At 43.8% G+C, this 19,967-nt stretch overlaps 1 protein-coding gene, 1 long non-coding RNA gene and 1 pseudogene across 3 annotated transcripts in view; 1 reads left to right on the top strand and 2 right to left on the bottom strand.

Annotated features, from left to right (window-relative positions):
- ITGA9 (integrin subunit alpha 9) overlaps positions 1–19,967 on the top strand; it is a 371,367-nt gene that overhangs the window by 323,638 nt on the left and 27,762 nt on the right. Inside the window, exons 24-26 of the mRNA NM_002207.3 lie at positions 1,614–1,739; positions 4,124–4,243; positions 9,199–9,300. Of these exons, the coding sequence (NP_002198.2) occupies positions 1,614–1,739; positions 4,124–4,243; positions 9,199–9,300 (348 nt within the window). The remainder of the gene's footprint in view (positions 1–1,613; positions 1,740–4,123; positions 4,244–9,198; positions 9,301–19,967) is intronic.
- The window catches only part of ITGA9-AS1 (ITGA9 antisense RNA 1), a 108,092-nt gene that overhangs the window by 22,090 nt on the left and 66,035 nt on the right, over positions 1–19,967 (bottom strand). The window contains exons 5-6 of one of the 2 annotated variants that reach the window (NR_110532.1): positions 15,065–15,133; positions 14,312–14,427 (exon numbers count right to left, since the gene is read on the bottom strand). The exons of the other annotated variant lie outside the window; for it this stretch is intronic. This is a non-coding gene — a long non-coding RNA (ITGA9 antisense RNA 1). Of the gene's footprint in view, positions 1–14,311; positions 14,428–15,064; positions 15,134–19,967 lie in introns of those variants that run through there. 2 annotated transcript variants of the gene reach the window in all.
- On the bottom strand, positions 14,005–14,754 carry NDUFAF4P3 (NADH:ubiquinone oxidoreductase complex assembly factor 4 pseudogene 3; annotated as a pseudogene).

Raw genomic sequence — 19,967 nt, forward strand, 5'->3', positions numbered from 1 at the left:
AAAGAGCTAAAAGCAGAACTGCCAATTAACCCAGCATCCCATTACTGGGTATATATATACCCAAATGAATATAAATCATTCTACCGTAAAGACACATGCACATGAATGTTCATTGCAGCACTGTTCACAATAGCAAAGACATGGAATCAACCTAAATACCCATCAAAGACAGATTGGATAAAGAAAATGTTGTACAGATATACCATGGAATACTATGCAGCCATAAAAAAGAATGAGATCATGCCCTTTGCAGGAACATGGATGGAGCTGGAGGCCATTATCCCTAGCAAACTAACACAGGAACAGAAAACCAAATATCACATGATCTCAATGATAAGTGGGAGCTAAATTATGAGAACTCATGAACACAAAGAAGGGAACAACAGACACTGGAGTCTATTTGAGAATGGAGGTTGGAAGGAGGGAGAGGAGTAGAAAAAATAACTATTGGGTACTAGGCTTAGTACCTGGGTGATGAAATAATCTGTACCAAAAACCTCCATGACACAAGTTTACCTATATAACACACCTGCACATGTACTCCCAAACATAAAATAAAAGTTAAAAAAAAACCAACAGCAAAAAAAGTTTTTGTTCCCTACCATGAATAAAAAGTTGAAACATTCTTGAACAACTATATTTTACTCAAGGGCATTATAGACAGGGCAATTTAACAGATGCCTGTGGTTAGCCATGGGATTGTAAGCACAATTCTAAATTATGAATTACTAATTATTAATTTTCTGGTTTAACCTCACATCCTGTCCAGCCTTCAGCTACAACCAGTGTGATATGGTGATATATAAAGAAGACTTCATTTTTCTAACAGTTCCTCAATTTAAACATCAGAAAGAGTGCTGTTCTTAAGGAAATCATCAAGAAAGACTAAGCACCATTGTTTTGTTTCTGATGTTGCTGTCACTCAGCACCGTTGCCATTGCTGTCAGAAGCAAAATCAAATCACTCACCAAGAGCTCGGCAAGCATGCAGGTCCCCGTCTGGCTCAGGGCAGAGACTGGTCAGTTATTTTTTTGGTAGCAAAACTCTGGCTTTAGAGTTGGACCATGAGCAGTCCTGCTTGCTGCTCATTCCCTTTCTCTAGAAGGACCCCTAAGGAGTTTTACAGCACCGTGGGGGCTTTCTAGAATGGTTGAAAACCTCTGGCAGCAGATCATCCATCAGGCTTGGTCCCAAGTTCCAGACCTGGGTTCTTGACTCCATGACTGTTGGCCAGTGACCTAAGTTCAGTCTCATTTTCCTCATTCAGACAAGAATTGCTTGTAAGGATGTTCTTAAGTGTGCTTTCAAAACCATGGAGTATAAGGCTTATTTTACTCCTTAAGTCTTCCTATTTCCTAGTCACATCTCATTTGCATGTTATATGCCATCTCATCAATTATTGGGGGACCTAAGATCCACATTTTCTATTATTTGGCCCTGTTGATGCTACAACTTCTGCCTTTCAGCTTTTCAGCCATTGTTCTCCACTTCAAAATGGACAAGGAGGAAAGGTGAATTGGGGTTCTACCACTCCTGCCTCTACAATAAGAGGCTCCAGCATCATGATTCATTCTTGAGAATGACTCCTCTGACAGGCCTCTTTTCATTTGCAGGTGGGCCAAGAGAAGGGAAACTGCTCTTTCCAGAAAAACCCAACTCCCTGCATCATCCCTCAAGAACAAGAAAATATCTTCCACACAATATTTGCTTTTTTCACAAAGTCTGGAAGAAAAGTCTTGGTAAGGATTTGTTTAGTGGTTGGGGTAACACGGGTGGTCCTCACTCGGAAGACACCAGTTTTCTATTTGATATTTATTATTTCCTAAATCTGGTTTTAATCAATTTGACTTACAAAGGCACAGACTGTGGTCAACTCCTAATTTTCAGTCTGAGGTTTCAATCAAAATGTTAAATTTACATTCCAAATCCTATTACCTGGAAAAGGGATAAATCTTTGCAACCCACCAAGCACAAAGTAAAATGTTTCTTCCACTAGAATGAGTCTAAACAAGAGTGATTATTCTTGTGCAAACATTTTGGGAAACTGTTTGATAATATCTACTAAAACAAAACGTGTGTATCCTATGACACAGCCATTCTACTCTTGAGTATATCCCCAAGAAAAATGAGTACTTGTGCTTCCCAGAAAAGACATGAAAAAGGATGCTCACAGAAATGTTAAAATAGCTGAAAGCTGAGAACAATGCAGATATCCATCAATAGGAGAATAAGTAAGCAATTGTGGTATATCCATACACTGGAATATTACACAGTAATGAAAAATAACAAACTACTGCTAATGAATGAATCTCACAGACAGAATATATTGAGTGGAAGAAGCTAGAGACAAAAGCCACATATTGTAATATTTCACTTATACGAAGTTCAGAAATAGCAAAAACTAATCATGATGATAGAGGTCAAGAAGGTGGTTACTTTCAGAGGAATGTGGATGGGATGGGGCATGAGGGAGCCTGCTTAGATGCTGGAAATGTCCTACATCCTAATCAGGGTGGTAGTCCTCCAGGTATAAACACATGTAAAAATTTTTAAAGACAGGCCGGGCACGGTGGCTCATGCCTGTAATACCAGCACTTAGGGAGGCTGAGGGGGTGGATCACCTGAGGTCAGGAGTTTGAGACCAGCCTGGCCAACATGGTGAAACCCTGTATCTACTAAAAATACAAAAATTAGCTGGATGTGGTAGTGGGCGCCTGTAATCCCAGCTACTAGGGAGGCTGAGGCAGGAGAATCGGTTGAATCAGGGAGGCAGAGGTTGCAGTGAGCCAAGATCGTGCCACTGTACTCCAGCCTGGGCAACAGAGCAAGACTCTGTCTCAAAAAAAAAAAAAAATTATAAAGACACACACTTCAGATTTGTTCTATTTACTATATTTGTTACACCTCCATTTTTAAAAAGTGCAGGTATTGAAGATGGAATGACAATGCTTTCCAAAGCCTCCTTTTTTTTATCTTTGGTTACATTTCTCTAAGCTCCTTATTTCAGCCCTGGCACATCTCACCTTTATCATTTCCTTTCTCATTCTTTTCTCCTGTTGGAGAAGGGTGACTGTTTGCCACTTGAAAGGTTGGGTTTTTTTTTTTTTTTTTTTTTTTTACTTACATAGTGAGGGTGATATTGTTGAAAGCCCTTAGACTTGTTAGATGTAGTGATACCTAGTGATTTTATAGTTACGACTCTGTCTGGCTGAAAATTTTGCCGTATAGATGAAACATCATCAAGGTATGTATACGCATTTTGGAACCTATCATATAAAAAAGAAAACTTTTGTAACTTAAATTTGGGATTTATGTTTTTGGTTTTTTGTTTGTTTGTTTGTTTTGAGATGGAGTCTTGCTCTGTCGCCCAGGGTGGAGTGCAGTGGCATGATCTCGGCTCACTGCAGCTTCTGCCTCTCGGGTTCATGCAGTTCTCCCGCCTCAGCCTCCCCAGCAGCTGGGACTACAGGCGGCCACCACTATGCCTGGCTAACTTCTGTATTTTTTGTAGAGACAGGGTTTCACCATGTTGGCCAAACTGGTCTTGAACTCCTGATCTCAGGTGACCCCCCTACCTCAGCCTCCCGAAGTGCTGGGATTACAGGCGTGAGCCACTGCGCCCAGCCGAGATTTACGTCTCTATTGTAACTTTTGTGTTTTCTTGAGGAAGTGTCACATGACTTCTTAGCCCTCTTATTCACCTACCTAATAAATAGGCATGAAAGTATATTTGCCACTACACAGGTGGAAGTCACATAATGTAGGAAACGTGTCTGTGTTCAAAACTCATAAGAATGCTTTCAGAATGCAAAATTTAAGTTTGTGGGTTTAAAAAAAAAAACAATTATTTCTCTTTGTGAATTCATCCAATTCTTGGTAGGATAAATTAGTGAGCTGTTTTCTCCCAGTTGCTTGACTTAAAGGCATGCTCTGGTTCCCACTGGGTGGGAAATCCCTTGAATGCCCTCTGGTGGCGAGAAAGAACGATTGCATCTTCTTGTGGATTTCCTCTGCCTGGAATTGCCTTAGTCACCAAGTTCATGGAGCCCACTACTCTGTAAATTGTTGTGGATTTGTCTTTGTTCTTAATTCCATTGGAAATTTTTCTGACTTTTCTTCTCAGGACTGTGAAAAACCAGGAATTTCTTGCCTAACAGCACACTGTAACTTTAGTGCTCTTGCTAAAGAAGAAAGTCGTACTATAGACATTTACATGCTGCTGAACACAGAAATACTGAAAAAGGTAAGCCCTAATGAACCGCACTTGTGGATGCATTTAGAAGCATTTGAATTGTTGACATCTGATTTTGGGTAAAAAAAAGGAAAAAGGAAAGCATTTGAATTGGTGTCCTCATGACAATCTGGCTGCCCCCCCTTTTGGCTGTCTACAAGAGACTGTTTTTATTTTTATGTATTTAGGGGGTACAAGTGCAGACTTCTTATATGAATATATTGTATCGTGATGAAATCTGGGCTTTTAGTGTACCCAATAGTGAACATGGTACCCAACAGGTAACTTTTCAACCCTCACCCCCCTCCCACATTTTGGAGTCTCCAATGTCTGTTAATTCCACTCTTTATGCCTATGGGTACCCATTACTTAGCTCCCACTTATAAGTGAGAACATGCAGTAGTTGACTACTTATGAGTTATTTCACTTAGGGAAATGGACTTCATTTCCATCCATGTTGCTGCAAAAGACATAATTTAATTCTTTTTTATGGCTGAGTAATATTCCATGGTGTGTGTGTGTGTGTATATATATATATATACCACATTTTCTATAACCAGTCATCCATTCATGGACACTTAAGTTGATTCCCTATCTTTGCTGTTGTGAATAGTGCTGCAATAAACTTACCAGTGCAGGTATATTTTTTATACAATACTTCTTTCCCTTTGGGTATATACCCATTAGTGTGATTGCTGGATGGAATGGCAGTTCTATTTTTAGTTCTTTGAGAAATCTCGATACTGCTTTTTTGATTGTACTAATTTATCTTCCCATCAACAGTGTATAAGTGTTCCCTTTTCTTTGCATCCTCACCAACATCTGTTGTTGTAGTTGTTGTTGTTGAACTGTTTAGTAATAGTCTGGCTGCCCCTTTTGAAACTTTTCCAGCAAGTGCCATTGGTAATTTTGCTGGTAGATAATGCCAGGGTAAAATACCAGACCCTTGCTACTCAAAGTGTGGTCCGAGGACCAGCAGCATCAGCATCACCTGAGAGTTTCTTAGAAATGCAGAATCCTGGGCTCCACCCCAGACTTAATAAATCGGCATCTTCATTTTTAACACATTCCCCAGGGATTTTGTTTGGCCATTTAAGTTTCTCATGCTTTAGCTTGCATCAGAATCACCTGGAGATCTTGTTCAAACACAGATTCCTTTGGGGTGCAGTCTGAGGCTCTCCAGTTGCCACAAGCACCCAGGTGATGCCAGTCCTGCAGTCTAGGGACCTCGCTTTGGATGAAGGTTGGCTAACCTTTTCTGTAAAGGGCCAGTGGTAAATATTTCAGGCTTTGCAGGCCCTACAGTCTCTTGCAACTGTTCAACTCTGCCATTGTATTGTGAAAGCAGCCATAGACAACACTCAAATAAATGGGCATGGCTGTGATCCAGTAAAACTTTATAAAAACAGGCAGAGGGCCAGATTTGACCCATGAGTCCTAGTTTAAATGACGGTTTGTTTTGGTCCAACTTTTGAACCTCAGGTCACTTTGCTATTATGAGTTTATCACAGGTGGTTCATTAAAAAACCACCTCAACCAGTGCATCGGTGGCTCTTGAAGAATCATACAAATTTCCTATGATTTATTTTAAGGTGAGAGCTGCTGAGAGGCCACTTCCAACAAGTTGCTGTAAAAATAATTACATGTGAAGATAAAACTAAATATGCATGTTAGCCTCAGAGATTCCAATTATTTTTCTTTAGAAAGACTAAATGTGTTAATCTGTACAAACCTATCCACGTGTGAATGAATAACCTTAGAAAAGTCATTCTGTGGTTATTTTTAAATAGGCACAGAGGTAACACACTGACCTGAGAGGATGCAGGCATCAGGGGATGTTTTTCCATTTTCAATCTGTAGCCGTTACAGCCCTCACACACCTGAAGAGAGCTGTGCATAGTTCTGGTTTCTCTGGTTTGCTCTGGAGGGAAACTGGTTTGGGGCAAGTTGGACTCACACTGCAGTGCTTTCTTCTCCCTTTGTACCTCTCCCTTTATAAAGGACAGTGTTGGAGGAGGACCAGGCCTGACTTAGAGCACCACTGGCCATCCTCTGATTCCATAAGGGAGGCTGGAAAACCCCACGTCTGGAGAAGTACCTTCCTGAAATGTGTCCGCAGGCCAGGCTGGAGGACTATGCCTCTGCATATGTACCTGTCCTGTTTGTATTCTTCAAAAATGGTGCTGCAGACAGTTTTATTGCCTGTGCCATACTTGCCACTGTCCATAGAGCCCTGGTGACAGCACTGGTGGCTGTAAGCCACTCTGATGTTTCCTTTATCCTCAACCCAGATGGCTGCTGCTTGCACTTCAGTTATTTGCACTTAATCATGCACAGCTCTGCAGCCTGGTTCTTCTGCTTTTCTATCCCGGCAGCCAGTGGTGACCCTTTGCCAAGGAACATGTCCCAGTGACTACTGTCCCCATGGGCCAGCCAGGCCAGTAGAGCCGCAGGCAAGAGAGCTGAAAGCTGTAGGGTGTCATATGAAGCCTTCAAGGCTCATTCTCCATGTGCCCTTTCAGCAGAAACCAGGAGCACTTCCAGGTGCAGAGAAAAGCTTAGAACAAAGTTGACCTGGAAGCCAGATGGGGCCCCAGCTGCTCCCAGAGCTTCAGTTGCCCTGAAGCCAGCTACAGCCTCCCTTGGGGAGTGGAGCCCACATGGCTCCAGGCCTCCCGAAGGATGTGGAGCAGCGCCAGCCTTGTGGTTTGCCTGGGCCTGCAGTCGTGTTTATTTTCCTTTTGACCTCAAGATCTGGCCCCAGACAAGGGAATTTGAGGTTTTACTGTTTTGACCTTAACAAGTTTTCATTTGAAATGTAGGATCTGATTTTTAAAATCACTGTAGGAGCCGGGCGCAGTGGCTCACGCCTGTAATCCCAGCACTTTGGGAGGCTGAGGTGGGCATATCACAAGGTCAGGAATTCAAGACCAGCCTGGCCAACATGGTGAAACCCCATCTCTACTAAAAAATACAAAAATTAGCCTGGCATGGTGGTGGGCACCTGTAGTCTCAGCTACTCGGGAGGCTGAGGCAGAAGAATCGCTTGAACCTGGGAGGTGGAGGTTGCAGTGAGCCAAGATCGTGCCATTGCACTCCAGCCTGGGCAACAGAGCGAGACTCTGTCTCAAAAAAAAAAAATCACCGTAGGATTCGGATTTTTTTGGAAGTATTCTTCTTTCAGTCTGTAAGGCTTTTCTCACTGATTCTACAACCGTGGGGGCCCATCCTGTGCCAGACTCCTCGTCTGCTTGGCCTGTAACGTTGGCAATTATCATCATCATTATCGTTATTAATATCCAAGTTTATTTTTATTTATTTTAATGTTTTTATTTAAAAAAATATTTTTAGAGACAGGATCTTGCTCTGTCACCCAGATGGGAGTACAGTGGCTCAATCATAGCTCACTGCAGCCTCAAACTCCTGGGCTCAAGTGATCTTCCTGCCTCAGCTAGTCCTCAGCTAGGACTGCAGGCACATGCTACCATGACAGGTGAATTTTTTTTTAATCTTTTGTAGAGATAGGATGTTTCCCCAGGCTGGACTTGACCTCCTAGCCTCAAGTGATCCTCCCACTTCAGTCTCTCAAAGTGCTGGGATTACAGGCCTTAACCATCGTGCCTGGCCCAAGATTATTATTATTATTCAAGATTGAAAATACAGCATATCCTGATACATAAAACCCCAACTTTATAAAACTGTTAAATTGGTAAAAGATTATTTGTTGCTTAAAATTATTTCTTGCTTAAAGTGAGTTAACTGGAGTAACTCTTTTGAATGACAAGCTTCCCAAAAGCATTTAAAATGTGTCTTATGGTTGTTTTAAGAAAAGAATGATAATTGGTGCATAACTCCCAAGTCACATATACAGACCAGGGTCCCTGTGTGCCCCAGGAAGGTCTTTGTGGTTTCTTTGGCAGAGATGAGCAAAGGGTACCCTTGGAACTGTTTTCTGTGGAGTCCTCTACCTTCCTGTTTCTTTGAGGGTTTAACCAAAGGTGGCATTTAAGTGTAAGCTCCTTGCATGACAGGCAAGCTGGGTAGATGTAGGTGGGGACACCACAAGACACCTTGCCTGTGGAGCCCCTCCTGCCCCACAGGTAGAATGTTGAATGCACTAGTTCTCTGCTATCTGTTTCCACGACAGAAGCCAGGCTGCCCTTCTGCTCCACAATCAACCTGTACCACTGGCTTGAGGTTCTGGCTTCTCCCCAGACCACAGTTTTTCCAGTCCCTGTCTTCTTCCAAATTCTTTCTCCATCCCTGTTTTGGCGCCATTTTCTGGTTATCTGGATCAGTGTCTTTGAATCTGAGCCCACAGGAAGACCTCTGCCTGCCTCTGGCTGGGGGGTGATTCCAGAGTCTTAGCTGTGCTCCCTTATACCCCTGCCCCTTTCTCCTTAATTCATAAGCCAGATATTTACCCCTTCCCCATCTCTCCATCAGGCATCCTCTTTCAATGTTTAATGGTTTTGATTCCAAAATGACTTCATTTAAGAGCAAAGAAAGAGTTAAAAGCAACTCATATGAAGGGTTTGAGGGTTGTGGTCAAGGCAGGAAGATGCCTATAAAATGTAGATCAGATGCCTTCTGTGGAATGCCAGGCCTAGATTTGCTCTACACAATTAAACAGCTTTATTTATCCTCAACTCTTTGTGAACATGTCAATATCAATATCCAAATATCTGGCTCTAACTGCTTGGAAACCACAGCACACATCTTGCGTGTGTTGATTACTGGCAAACTCCATCATTTCCCACCATCCACCATGATCTGCAAAGAATCCTTAAGAGAGACCCTAGTCTGTGTTTATGTGGGTGCCTGGGATGGAGAGGTATCTAGTTCAATGATAAAATTTTTGTCTGGGCTACATGGAATCATGGAATTTCAGTTCTGCCCAGTCCCTCTCAAGGCCCAGCCATTATCATAGAAAAATCTTCAAGTAAGTTGTGTTGTTTCTTCCACAGGACAGTTCGTCTGTCATCCAGTTCATGTCCCGCGCCAAGGTGAAGGTGGATCCTGCCCTAAGGGTGGTGGAAATAGCTCATGGGAACCCAGAAGAGGTGACGGTGAGTCAGCCACCCCAGGACAGCCCTCCTCAGAGGGCAAGGGAAGCTGGGTGACTTGGAGACCTGGAGCTGGAATTTGAGGGTCAAGACAGTCTCTGAGCCAAGATGTTGGGTTTGTGGCAGACCCAAGACTATGCCTGCCTTGGCTTCCAGGCCCCCCCTGGAGAACTTCTGTGGTTCGTTCTTGTGATAGCATTGTCCTTTAGGATGCCATCATTATGTGAATGTTTCCTGCTATGATTGTCCAAAGGGAAAATGGTCTGGAAGTACACCCACGTCAACAGAGTTGGATTTCCACTGTGGAGCCAGGACTATTTATATCTTTCTTAGACCTTTCCTAAGACAGACCACATCTGCCTTACCCGTCACATTACTCCATGGGTAAATACTGTGTTTTGGTTTGGTTTGGTTTGGTTTTTAAGAGACAGGGTCTCACTCTGTCACCCAGGCTGGTGTGCAGTCATAACTCCCTGTAGCCTTGAATACCTGGCCTCAAGGGATCCTCTCACCTTAGCCTCCAGAGTAGCTAGGACTACAGGCACACTACCATGCCTAATTTTTAAATTTTTTAAAATTTTTTTGTCGGGATAGGGTTCCACGATGTTGCTCAGGCTGGTCTCAAACTCCTGGCTTCAAGCGATCCTCCTGCCTCAGCCTCCCAAAACACTGAGATTACAGGCAAACACTGGGTGTTTTAAAAACAAGTTGTTTGAATGACTTAAAGAGATTACATCCAAATTGCCAAGACCTAGTAACTGCTCTTTAACTATTTACCACCCCCTTCTCCTCCATAAAGTGCAGTTGGCACCAAGGCCTCAGAGACACGGGAGGGTGTGGCAAACCACGAGGCTGAGAGTGGAGGTGTGGGAGAGGCTGGAGGGAAGCTATGGCCTTGGAATTTTATTGCCTTTTATTGTTGTTCTTGCAGGAGCAGGGGGGTTGAGGGGGGTTGAGGGGGGTTCATCCTGTATTTGATGCCCACACTCAGATCCCAGGGGAGTAGAGGAGGAGACAGCAGCCGATGCACTTCTTTTGCCAGTGAGCTGTGCAATGATGCTACCTGTCTGCTTCCCTTCTGTGGAATTTACCCTCTCTTAGAACAGTCAGTGTTGCTGTGACACATTTACAAAAGTGATAAGTTTATAATGATTTTGTGCTTAGAAACTGTTGTTAATTTACTCTCTGACAACAGTGGAGACACCACATGTCAAAATGTCAGAATGGGGTTCAAACCAAAGACTACTCTTACAAGACCCTGGTTGGGAAAGTTTCATATAGAAAATAAATGCTGGGCAGGCGGATCATCTGAGATCAGGAGTTCAAGACCAACATGGCGAAACGCTGTCTCTACTAAAAAATATAAAAATTAGCCAGTCGTGGTGGTAGGCTCTTGTAATCCCAGCTACTTGGGAACTGAGGCAGGAGAATCACTTGAAACCCGGAGGCGGAGGTTGCAGTGAGCCAAGATCATGCCACTCTGCTCCAGCCTGGGCAACGGAGTAAGACTCCGTCTCAAAAAAACAAAAAACAAACAAACAAAAAAAAAAAAACCAATAGTAATAATGCTTAGGACCTCAATAAAACTTCAGTCCTGTCCGTTTTTGGTGAGCAAGAGATGAGAACATCAGGGAGTCTGGGATGAAAATGAATTCCTGAATGAGTGAGGGGTTGGGCATTCCCTACTCAGTGAGGAGAATGAGTGTTCCATGCAGACTTTTATGCTCTACCCACAAGATAAGTTGTCCAAGCACTATTTTTGTTTGTTTGTTTGTTTCTTTGTTTGTTTGAGACAGGGTCTTGCTTTGTCACCCAGGCTGGAGTGCACTGGTGCAATCATGGCTCACTGCAGCCTCCACCTGTTGGCTCAGGCCAGGCACTAATTTTAATGATAGAAACCAAATGGAATGATGCTGGGTCATTTACTACTTAGGGTCAGTTTTTCTGGCAGGTCAGATATTTGGAGTTGGTGTTTCCCTTTTCTTCCCTGCCTTCTGGCCATTTAACTGCTAATTCAGACCTCCACCTGGGAAGTGAAAAAGAAAAGTGGTTCCCTGCTCATTGTCATAGTTCTGGTTTAAAAGTTTTATAGAATGAAATACTTGCCCAACATGAGAGGTTTAGAATGTTCTGGTAAACCACAGTGTTAATAAGTGGAAGCTAATGGAAATAGCTAACAGGTTTTCTACACGTAGAATCCCTTGTGTAGATGAAAAAAAAAAATCACTGGGCATATTGCCTTCCATTATAGGACTAGACTGTGGGATCCAGGAAAATGTTGCTTAACATCTCGTTGTTGGATTCCAAGTCATCTGTACTCCCCCAAAATACCACTTCCATTAATTACTGTTCCATTTTGAGCACTATGGTGATATTTTCATTATCAAGAGTTCTTGGGAAGAGGCCGAGAGGTTTTTTTTAGCACTCCTAAGAAAAAATTAACACACATGGGAATTCCACAATGCCCCTTCTCCCTCCTTTCCATGACTTTGCCTTTTCAGTCCATGAGCTACAATGAAGTTCTACAATCTGTTGTTCTCAATTTTCCTGGCAGGAAAAAAAAAATCTTTTCTGAGTAGGAAGGTTTGCCTTTTTAGAACAAACACGATCTTCCCTGCGTGATTCTTCTGAATGCCTGGCCTTCTGTCAACTATCAGTCTGAAGGGGAATTTCCATAGAGCCTCGCCACCAAATTTAAATTAGGCAAAGTTTCAAAGATTTTAGATTAGGCACCAAATTGTTATGGCCTTGGAAGGAACAGGAAATGTACTTGCATTTGGTATCGAGTGGGGGAGGAAAACAATCAGATTTTTAACCACATAACGTGTGCACGGTGGTAAATTTAACTGATGGAGAAATCAAGCAATTTTCCTGTGATCTTTTTTAATAGGAGTTTTAAAATGCATTTTATATTGAGTAGTTATTTCATGTTTTCTTAAAACAATTATTGTATTGAACTAAAAATAAACTAGGTAGTTTGTTCACATAACAAATCTACATTCAAAGACATGCAAACAAATTTTCCACTTAGTCCATTTTTCTGTTCTCAGCATTACTACAAATGCCTCATTCTGTTATCACGTTGAATTCTTCAGCATCTTCTATATCATTTCCAGGGCATCTCTGGGAAGTAGTGATGCCTGTCTTCCCTCAGAAGCACACTGATAACCCCAATATACCCACAATTCACACTTTTTTCCTTCTCTGAGGTATGCTGTTTTTTGTCAAAACAGAAAAAACACACTACTAGGATATGAAAAACTTCATTCTGGGCCTGGTTAGGTCATAAACTACAGAACCTTAGGTCATATATTCTCACCGGGCGCTTGTTTCTCCACTGCAAAAAATAATTCGTATTTGCTTGGTCCTTTGTAGTACTTTACTGTTTATAAATGTAGTACATTTATCTTCATGATGACCCTTAAATTTAAGTAAGGTAGTATTATGCTCATTTTATAGAAGAAATTCAATCTCAAAGAGGATACAGTCTCCCAAAGATCCCACAAGCAGTAATATATTAGGCAGAGCTAAACTCACACACTGTCACTCAATTTCCTAATATTGGTACATGCCATGCTAATAAGTGTGCTAAAATGGATGAAGCGGCAATTTCTCAGGTCCCTTCCAATGATCCTGTCCTCTGCTTCTACTTGATATTTTTTCTCTCTTTCAACTAGCATTAACATCCGAAACTGTATATCATCACCACATTTCATTTACCATGGTTTTTTAATTTAATTATTCTTTAAATTTTTCTATTTCCATGTTAAATCCAGAGAAATTGTTACTTTTTGGAAAGTTTCTACTGCTGCCTGCCTCTGAAGGCCACGGGACTTACCTGTTTGTTTGTCAAAGCAGAAATGCCCAACATTTTGTAAACACTAATTTTTTTATAACTGTAAAGATGATTATTCCATACTTAAAACCAATTCAAAATAAAATAAATCCTCAATACTTCTTATTCCCTGGGGTAGTAATTTTAATTAGATTCTATTGATTCATTATTTTCTCCTGTGTGCCTTTATTTGGGAAATACTGTTAGTTTACCTTGCTATCGAGTCTCTTTCCCTAACAAGAAAATGTCAGCCTTACGAGTCAGGAAAGCTTTTACTTTCACTATCACATATGAAGAATGAACTAAACACCTAACTTGGAAAGTAAAACTTAAATGAGGGATTCAGGACATTTCCCAAGGGGTCATCTGACCAATTTAAGAGTTGGTATGATGTGCCTAAAATAGCAAATTAACTCTTCTACTTATAATAAAGGTGCAGATGTACTGATTAGACATGCTGACATGTACATATAAAATATGCCTAAACCAAATTAAAAGAAAACAAAATATATTCCATGGCAATCTTGAAAAGTCAGGGAGCTCAATATATATTAAGAGTATGCGCTCAGCCAGGCGCGGTGGCTCACACCTGTAATCCTAGCACTTTGGGAGGCCAAGGCGGGTGGACCACAAAGTCAGGAGATCGAGACCATCCTGGCTAACGTGGTGTAACCCTGTCTCTACTAAAAAATACCAAAAAAAAAAAAAATGAGCTGGGTGTGGTGGCGGGCGCCTGTAGTCCCAGCTACTCGGGAGGCTGAGACAGGAGAATGGCGTGAACCCAGAAGGCGGAGCTTGCAGTGAGCTGAGATCACGCCACTGCACTCCAGCCTGGGTGACAGAGTGAGACTCCGTCTCAAAAAAAAAAAAAAAAAAAAAAAAAAGACTATGCTCTCACAATGAGAGCATTAAACATTTGGTAATTAACATAATTTAATATGCCAAAAATGAGAAAATAGTCAGGATGAGGGATGAGGAGTACACATAGGAAATTTTTGTGATTTTCTTCATTTTGATTGTATTGCTTTCTTGTCTTCAGGAGGGAAGATTTTGACTTCAAAAGTAACAAAATATTTAAGAAGGGAATTCACATCTTTCTGTTCTAATTGGTATTCTTGCGCTATTTTCTCAGCAGTCCATGTTTCTGGATAAAGTTTATGATTGTTAAGAAGTGTCAGTGCTTCTACAATGGAAATTTTGCCTTTGGGAATGCTCTTAATATTTATCATATCAAAGTGATGACCTTTCAGCAATCTGAATTCCTTTGGCTCTTGATGTGTTTCAGCAGCTTTTACCTGCGCGGAAGACACAAGATCTTTGGAATCAACATACACATCTTTTAGAAATGGCAGCAGCTTGTCATCTTTATGAGCAATCTCTCCCTTAATTTCTGGATAGAGACTAATCTGCTCTCACAGGAGGCTGTTGGTAGAGGGGTGCCTGGGAGCAGGAGAGGGCTTCATCTTGCTGATTTCCCATTCTGCTCGGTTCTCTCGGTTGGAATGCCTGATCCTGCGAGTCACTGCAGCCCCCATCTCATAACATGATGCCCTCAGGTTTACGCCACTTGTGGGAACACTGGCACAGGAAGCCTCCAGGGCGTCTGGAGCATGCACACATGTCCTGTGATTCTTTATATCTTTTATTTTTATGCCATGGTACAAGTTGTGCTTTACAGAGCATTTGGGTGAATAACTAGAAATATGCCATAGATTCTTGAGGCTTTGCCTGGTTCACTAATGACAGGCTCCAGGGCGTTTCTCAGGGAGCATGTTAGCATGTTTCTAGGACCAGCCACATCAGCCAGACCTGGCTCTGTACAGACCCAAACCTGAGAATGCCATGTGAGACCTGTGTGACTGCAGAATCAAAGTGCTGGTTGCGAGGTGCCAATTACATGTTGAATTTCATCTTCAACCCAACTCTACTTACCTTTCAGGGAGTGATGAGTAGGGGGCGAGAGGGGAAAATGCAGAAAGTGTTGTTTGAGGCCCACAGAAACTATAAAGATGAAGAACAGGAGAAACGTAGTTAATCATGCCCTGGAAAGCTGGCCTGCAGAAAGAAAAGGAATTTATCTCTGAGAAGGCCTTCAGAAAGAAAATGAGTAGGCTCCGGAGACGTTCATCTGTCTTCGTGCAGCCATAAAAAGTTATCAGGTGAGGCTGAGGGGTGAAGGCGCTTTCTCTGATCCCTGAATTGGTTACTGAGGCCCACAGAAGAGGAAAGGACCCCTGAAGCCAGAAACTCCCCCAAGGCAAATCAAGACTTTATGGAATCAGCTCTGTTACTGCAAGACATCCCCTCAAACTCCCGTCTCAGTCTGTGTGAGAAGCGTGCATGAATTCTTGCTATTTTCTTGATATTTTCAAATAGCAGAATACATGATAAACTTGTAAGTCCACAGATGAGTCGGTAAGCTGCTGCCATATGGAGCATGCACCAGACTGAGGTCTTTGGTGACAGCTGGAAAGACTGGCTCTGTCTCATTTCAGCAGAATCAGAATGGATTCGAAGGCTATCCAGTGGAAGTGCTCAGAATTGCGCTGGAAGGCTGGAGAACCAGACCAAAAATCAGAGGGATCTGGAAACCTGAGGGCTATAGGCTGCGTCCAGGCGCAGGAAGTCTGGCATGGTGTCCTGGACACTGGACACAGCTATCCCTGGCTTCTCTCTACCTCGTGCTCTGGAGTCAGGCAGAAACCTTTCTACTTTCTGGAGTTGCTGAGAAGGTTCAGTGATACCAGCATGAAGCTCCTAGAAGAAGGGCTGGTGCATAGCTGCTGCTCAGGGTGGCACAGCCCCTCCACAGTCCTGCCCACATGTGAGTTGCCCCTTCACACCACTCCCTAACACTGCCCTCACCAAAGATGCAAGCCTGGTATCTCAACCAGAGAGGCATCTTTCAACATGGCAAGCAAGATTACTCCAAAAAAATGCCACTTACCATTCCTTTGGTGTACTGCTTCTAGAGGCAAAGTTTACTGCTTTTACTGTCATGAAATAGACTGTGACTTGTTATTTATCATTTATGTGACCAATTATAGTTACAATCATGTTCCATGTGACAATAGAATCTTTCCCCCCTTGAACCTCACATTATGCTGAGATGTAGGATGAAGAGGAGGGTTGTTGAAGGGTCATCACCGCCCCCATCCTATGCCATCAGCAGTGGGTGGTGAGTAGTTCTTTCTCTTCACCCACCTCCCCACATGTGAGAATTAAGCTCTGACCATCAAGAATTGAGAAAACTCTCGGTATAGTTTTCCAAACACACGAGTCATATTTTCTAATGGTCATCATTTGCTTATTTGTTTGATGAATATTTATTGAGGGCTTGCTAAGAGCCAGGCACTGTGCTAGGCACTGGGGACTCGATGGGGAACAAAAGAGACATGATCCGTGCCCTCCCAGAGCTGGCCGAGGGGGCAGCAGTCAGCAAGGACGCAAACAAGAATTCTATTTCCAGTTGAGGTTAGTCCCCAGGGAGTAGCCTGCTTTAGATTGGGGGTCGAGGAATGTTTCTACAAGGAAGCTGAGACTGGCAGATGAGAAGGAATTCGCTTGCCAAGCATGAGGAAGAGTGTCTCAGTTGGGGAGGAGAGCTGTATGGAGCCCCAAAAGGCTTGGCCTCTTCAAGGCACTGAAAGACCAGGTAGCAGGAAGCTGGTTAGCAGTGAAGAGAACCATGGTAGACCTAGGCAGGGTCCATGCCAGGTAACACCACTGGGCACTTACAAAGGAAAGCCATTGAAAGCTTCTGTTTGGAGCAGGGAATGGCATGATCCAGTGTATGTTCTTTAAAAATCGTAGGCCACTGTGTGGATGGTGGATTTTAGGGGCAAAGGTGGAAATAAGGAGCTGGTTAGAAGGCTGCGATTTTCACCTGGCAAGAGGTCAGGGTGGCAGAGGAGACAGAGCAAGTGGACAGTATGTCTATGTCAGTGAAGGTGCGGTGACCGGTGCCACTCACACGTAAGGAATGCTTATCCTGGAGGGCTGGGAGTGATCCAGTGTCATCTCGATGCAAAGCCCCTTGCACAGCACATCCACGGTGGCACTCTGTTAATAGTGGCTGTCATTGCATAAAGAGATGGCCAAGGAGATGAACCACATGAAAAATGAGCCTCCTTCTCCCCAAATCCTCAAGTCCTGGTCAGTTTACTCTAAATCAAAGTTTCCAGTCGTCATGATGAGTATGATCATCATCATTATTATTTTTAGGCAACAGAACCCATTTCTAAATTGAAATATGCTTCAGTTGACTCAGGGGTGAGGTTCCTGGAACTCCCTCTTGGTGGCTTCCATACCCCCTCACTGGACCCGTGGGCTCTAAAGAAGCCACTGCTATGGAAAGTTGTATTCTCAGAAGGTTGCCCAGTCCATCAAAGGCTTTCACTAGATGCTAGTTATACCCCCAGTAACTATGAACAAGATGAAATTTTTACCCTCAAGACTTCCACAGCCCCAAACAGGTCAACACACACACACACACACACACACACACACACACACACACACACACACGTGCACACACATCACACCCCTGCAGCACTGTATGCATACGTGCCCAGAGTATCTGTGCTGAAGAGGTCAAGACAGGTTTCACAGAAGGAGTGACCCCCGAACAAGTATTGAAGGAATTTCCCACGTGGACAAGGAAGATCAGGCATTCAAGATGAAGTCAGATGGTGTCTTGGGCTGGATTCTCAAGAAGCAGACCCTGAGATGAGGGCATCATGTAAGCAGTTTATTTAGGGAGATGCTCCTAATGAGACCCAGAAATAAATGGGACAGGATAGGAAAGAGGAGAAGGGAAGCAAGGGTGAGATTTCAGGGACCATCTTAGCTCCACCCTGATCTTGACCTCGGAGTTGGTCCTGCCTGGAAGCAGGGGAGCTGGGGTCTCACACTCCTGTATCTGCCAGTCATTGGTTGGGGCTGTTCCAGAGGTAGTAACCCCAAGCCACTTTACCCTCTAAAAGTGAGGCAGGCCTCTAGAAGTGAAGGCATGACAAACCTGGGGGCTGGGCAGGCCAAATCAAGAGAGGGGACCCAAAAGGATCTGGGCAGAGAACCGAGTCTTGGCCACAGATGGAAATGTTCTGCACTCAGAGCTTGGGTGCTGTGCTCAGTGTGCGTGTCCATGTCCCATTAAGATGAATGACCTCATTGTGTGAGGTGTGCTCGAATCTGCTGAATTCCTGTGAAGTGCTAGGCATGTGCTATGATTACCTCCTGTCACTCTGACATCACCCCTGTGAACTAGGCACTACAACTTCCATCTTCTTTGGAACAGAGGCTCCGGGAGTGAAGGAGCCTGCTGGATGCCCCACAGCCGGTCAGTGGAAGAGGAATTTCTGGCCACAGCTCTGCCTGTTGGCGAGCCCTGAGTCTCCCTTGACCCCTTACCCCTCTGGCCTGTGCTGTCCTGTAGCCCAGAGCCCACACACAGAGCAGGTGGGAGGAATCGCATTCCTGGGTGGTAGACAGCTGACCCTCTGTCTTAGGAGTGACCCTTGGCTCTAATGGCCTCAGGAGCACATCATGCTCAGACTTATTTGGTGGTCAGTTGGCTTTGGAACTCTTCCCATTGTGTCCTGGTCCTTAACTAGATGCACAGATGTGCAGTCAAGGGGAGAATGAAGACTCCTCGGGATTCTCCATCGCTTGAGGTAAATGAGCTCCATCCCTCTCTCTCTCAAGAGCAATGTGAGGATTATGGGGAGTAGTAGATAGTAAACCTCTCAGCATGGTGCCTGGTGCATAGTAAGTACTCTACAAATGTGATCCATTACCAGTAACAGGAATTAGAAAGCCCAGCTCATTCCTCTGCAAACTCTGACAGAGAAAGGGATTTTGGAAACATGACACCTGGCAGGCATGGGGCATGTTTGACATCTCTGTTCATCACAGCACAGACTTACAGTGCCAGTCTTGCCAAATGTACAGTTTATTTTCTGTTCATTTATGTCGTCTCCATAAGTCTCCCTGTGCCTCTGAACTGGCTTGCCTTCTAGGCTGAGTTCTGAGAGCCATCTGAGGCATGGTTCTGCTGAAAACATTTATTCCAGCCCCAACCACCCTGTCTCCCTCCTCCCTCCCCCACACCTGCACTGGCTATTAGATGGAATCAGAATCGGGTGGAAATGTCATCTCACTGTCACAGATGTTATTCTCTTTCCACTTCTTATTTTATATAAATTCCTTCCTTCTATTGAGACAAGTGTGTGATGTTGACTGCAGAGAGCATCTTGCCCTTGTCATTGACCTTCAGCTGGCCTAGGTCTGGAGTTGAACCTCCTCTTGGATGGTATTGACCGAGCTGTCCCTCCGTCTCTGGAAGCCCTCCATCCAGCAGAAGCCTGGGTGAGATGTACTGCCATTGTGATCATATTCTCAGGCCTTGTGGAGACATGGGCATTGCCAGCTGTTACAGTAGGCATATTTGCATTGATCAGAACATAAAAGTTTCCAGAAACACAGAAGTGAATCAAATAGTGTGGTTTAGGTTCACCCACTGCCTCAGACTGGAAGCTGGCTTCTGGCCACTCCATGACACCAGCTTGGCAACCTCAGGTACGTTAAATTCTACAGAAGCAGGCAGGGTGCCAGTGTCTGGACCTGTCTCAAAGGCCTGTTTGCCCTCCTCAAAGGCCCCCTTGAGACAGATCCTCATACTCCCCATTTTCGTCTGTTTTGTTAGTCAGCGTCCAGTGTGTGAGCCCTCCAGCCAGGGTCCGCACCAGGCCATCAGCCATCCCTTCACTGGCCAGAGCTCCTGCCTTCCCCAGCTCAGCCTGCTACGACCCTCACAGCCACTCCCCCAAAACCA

Source organism: Homo sapiens, chromosome 3 (assembly GCF_000001405.40).
Source record: "Homo sapiens chromosome 3, GRCh38.p14 Primary Assembly".
In the NCBI taxonomy this organism is placed as follows: domain Eukaryota; kingdom Metazoa; phylum Chordata; class Mammalia; order Primates; family Hominidae; genus Homo; species Homo sapiens.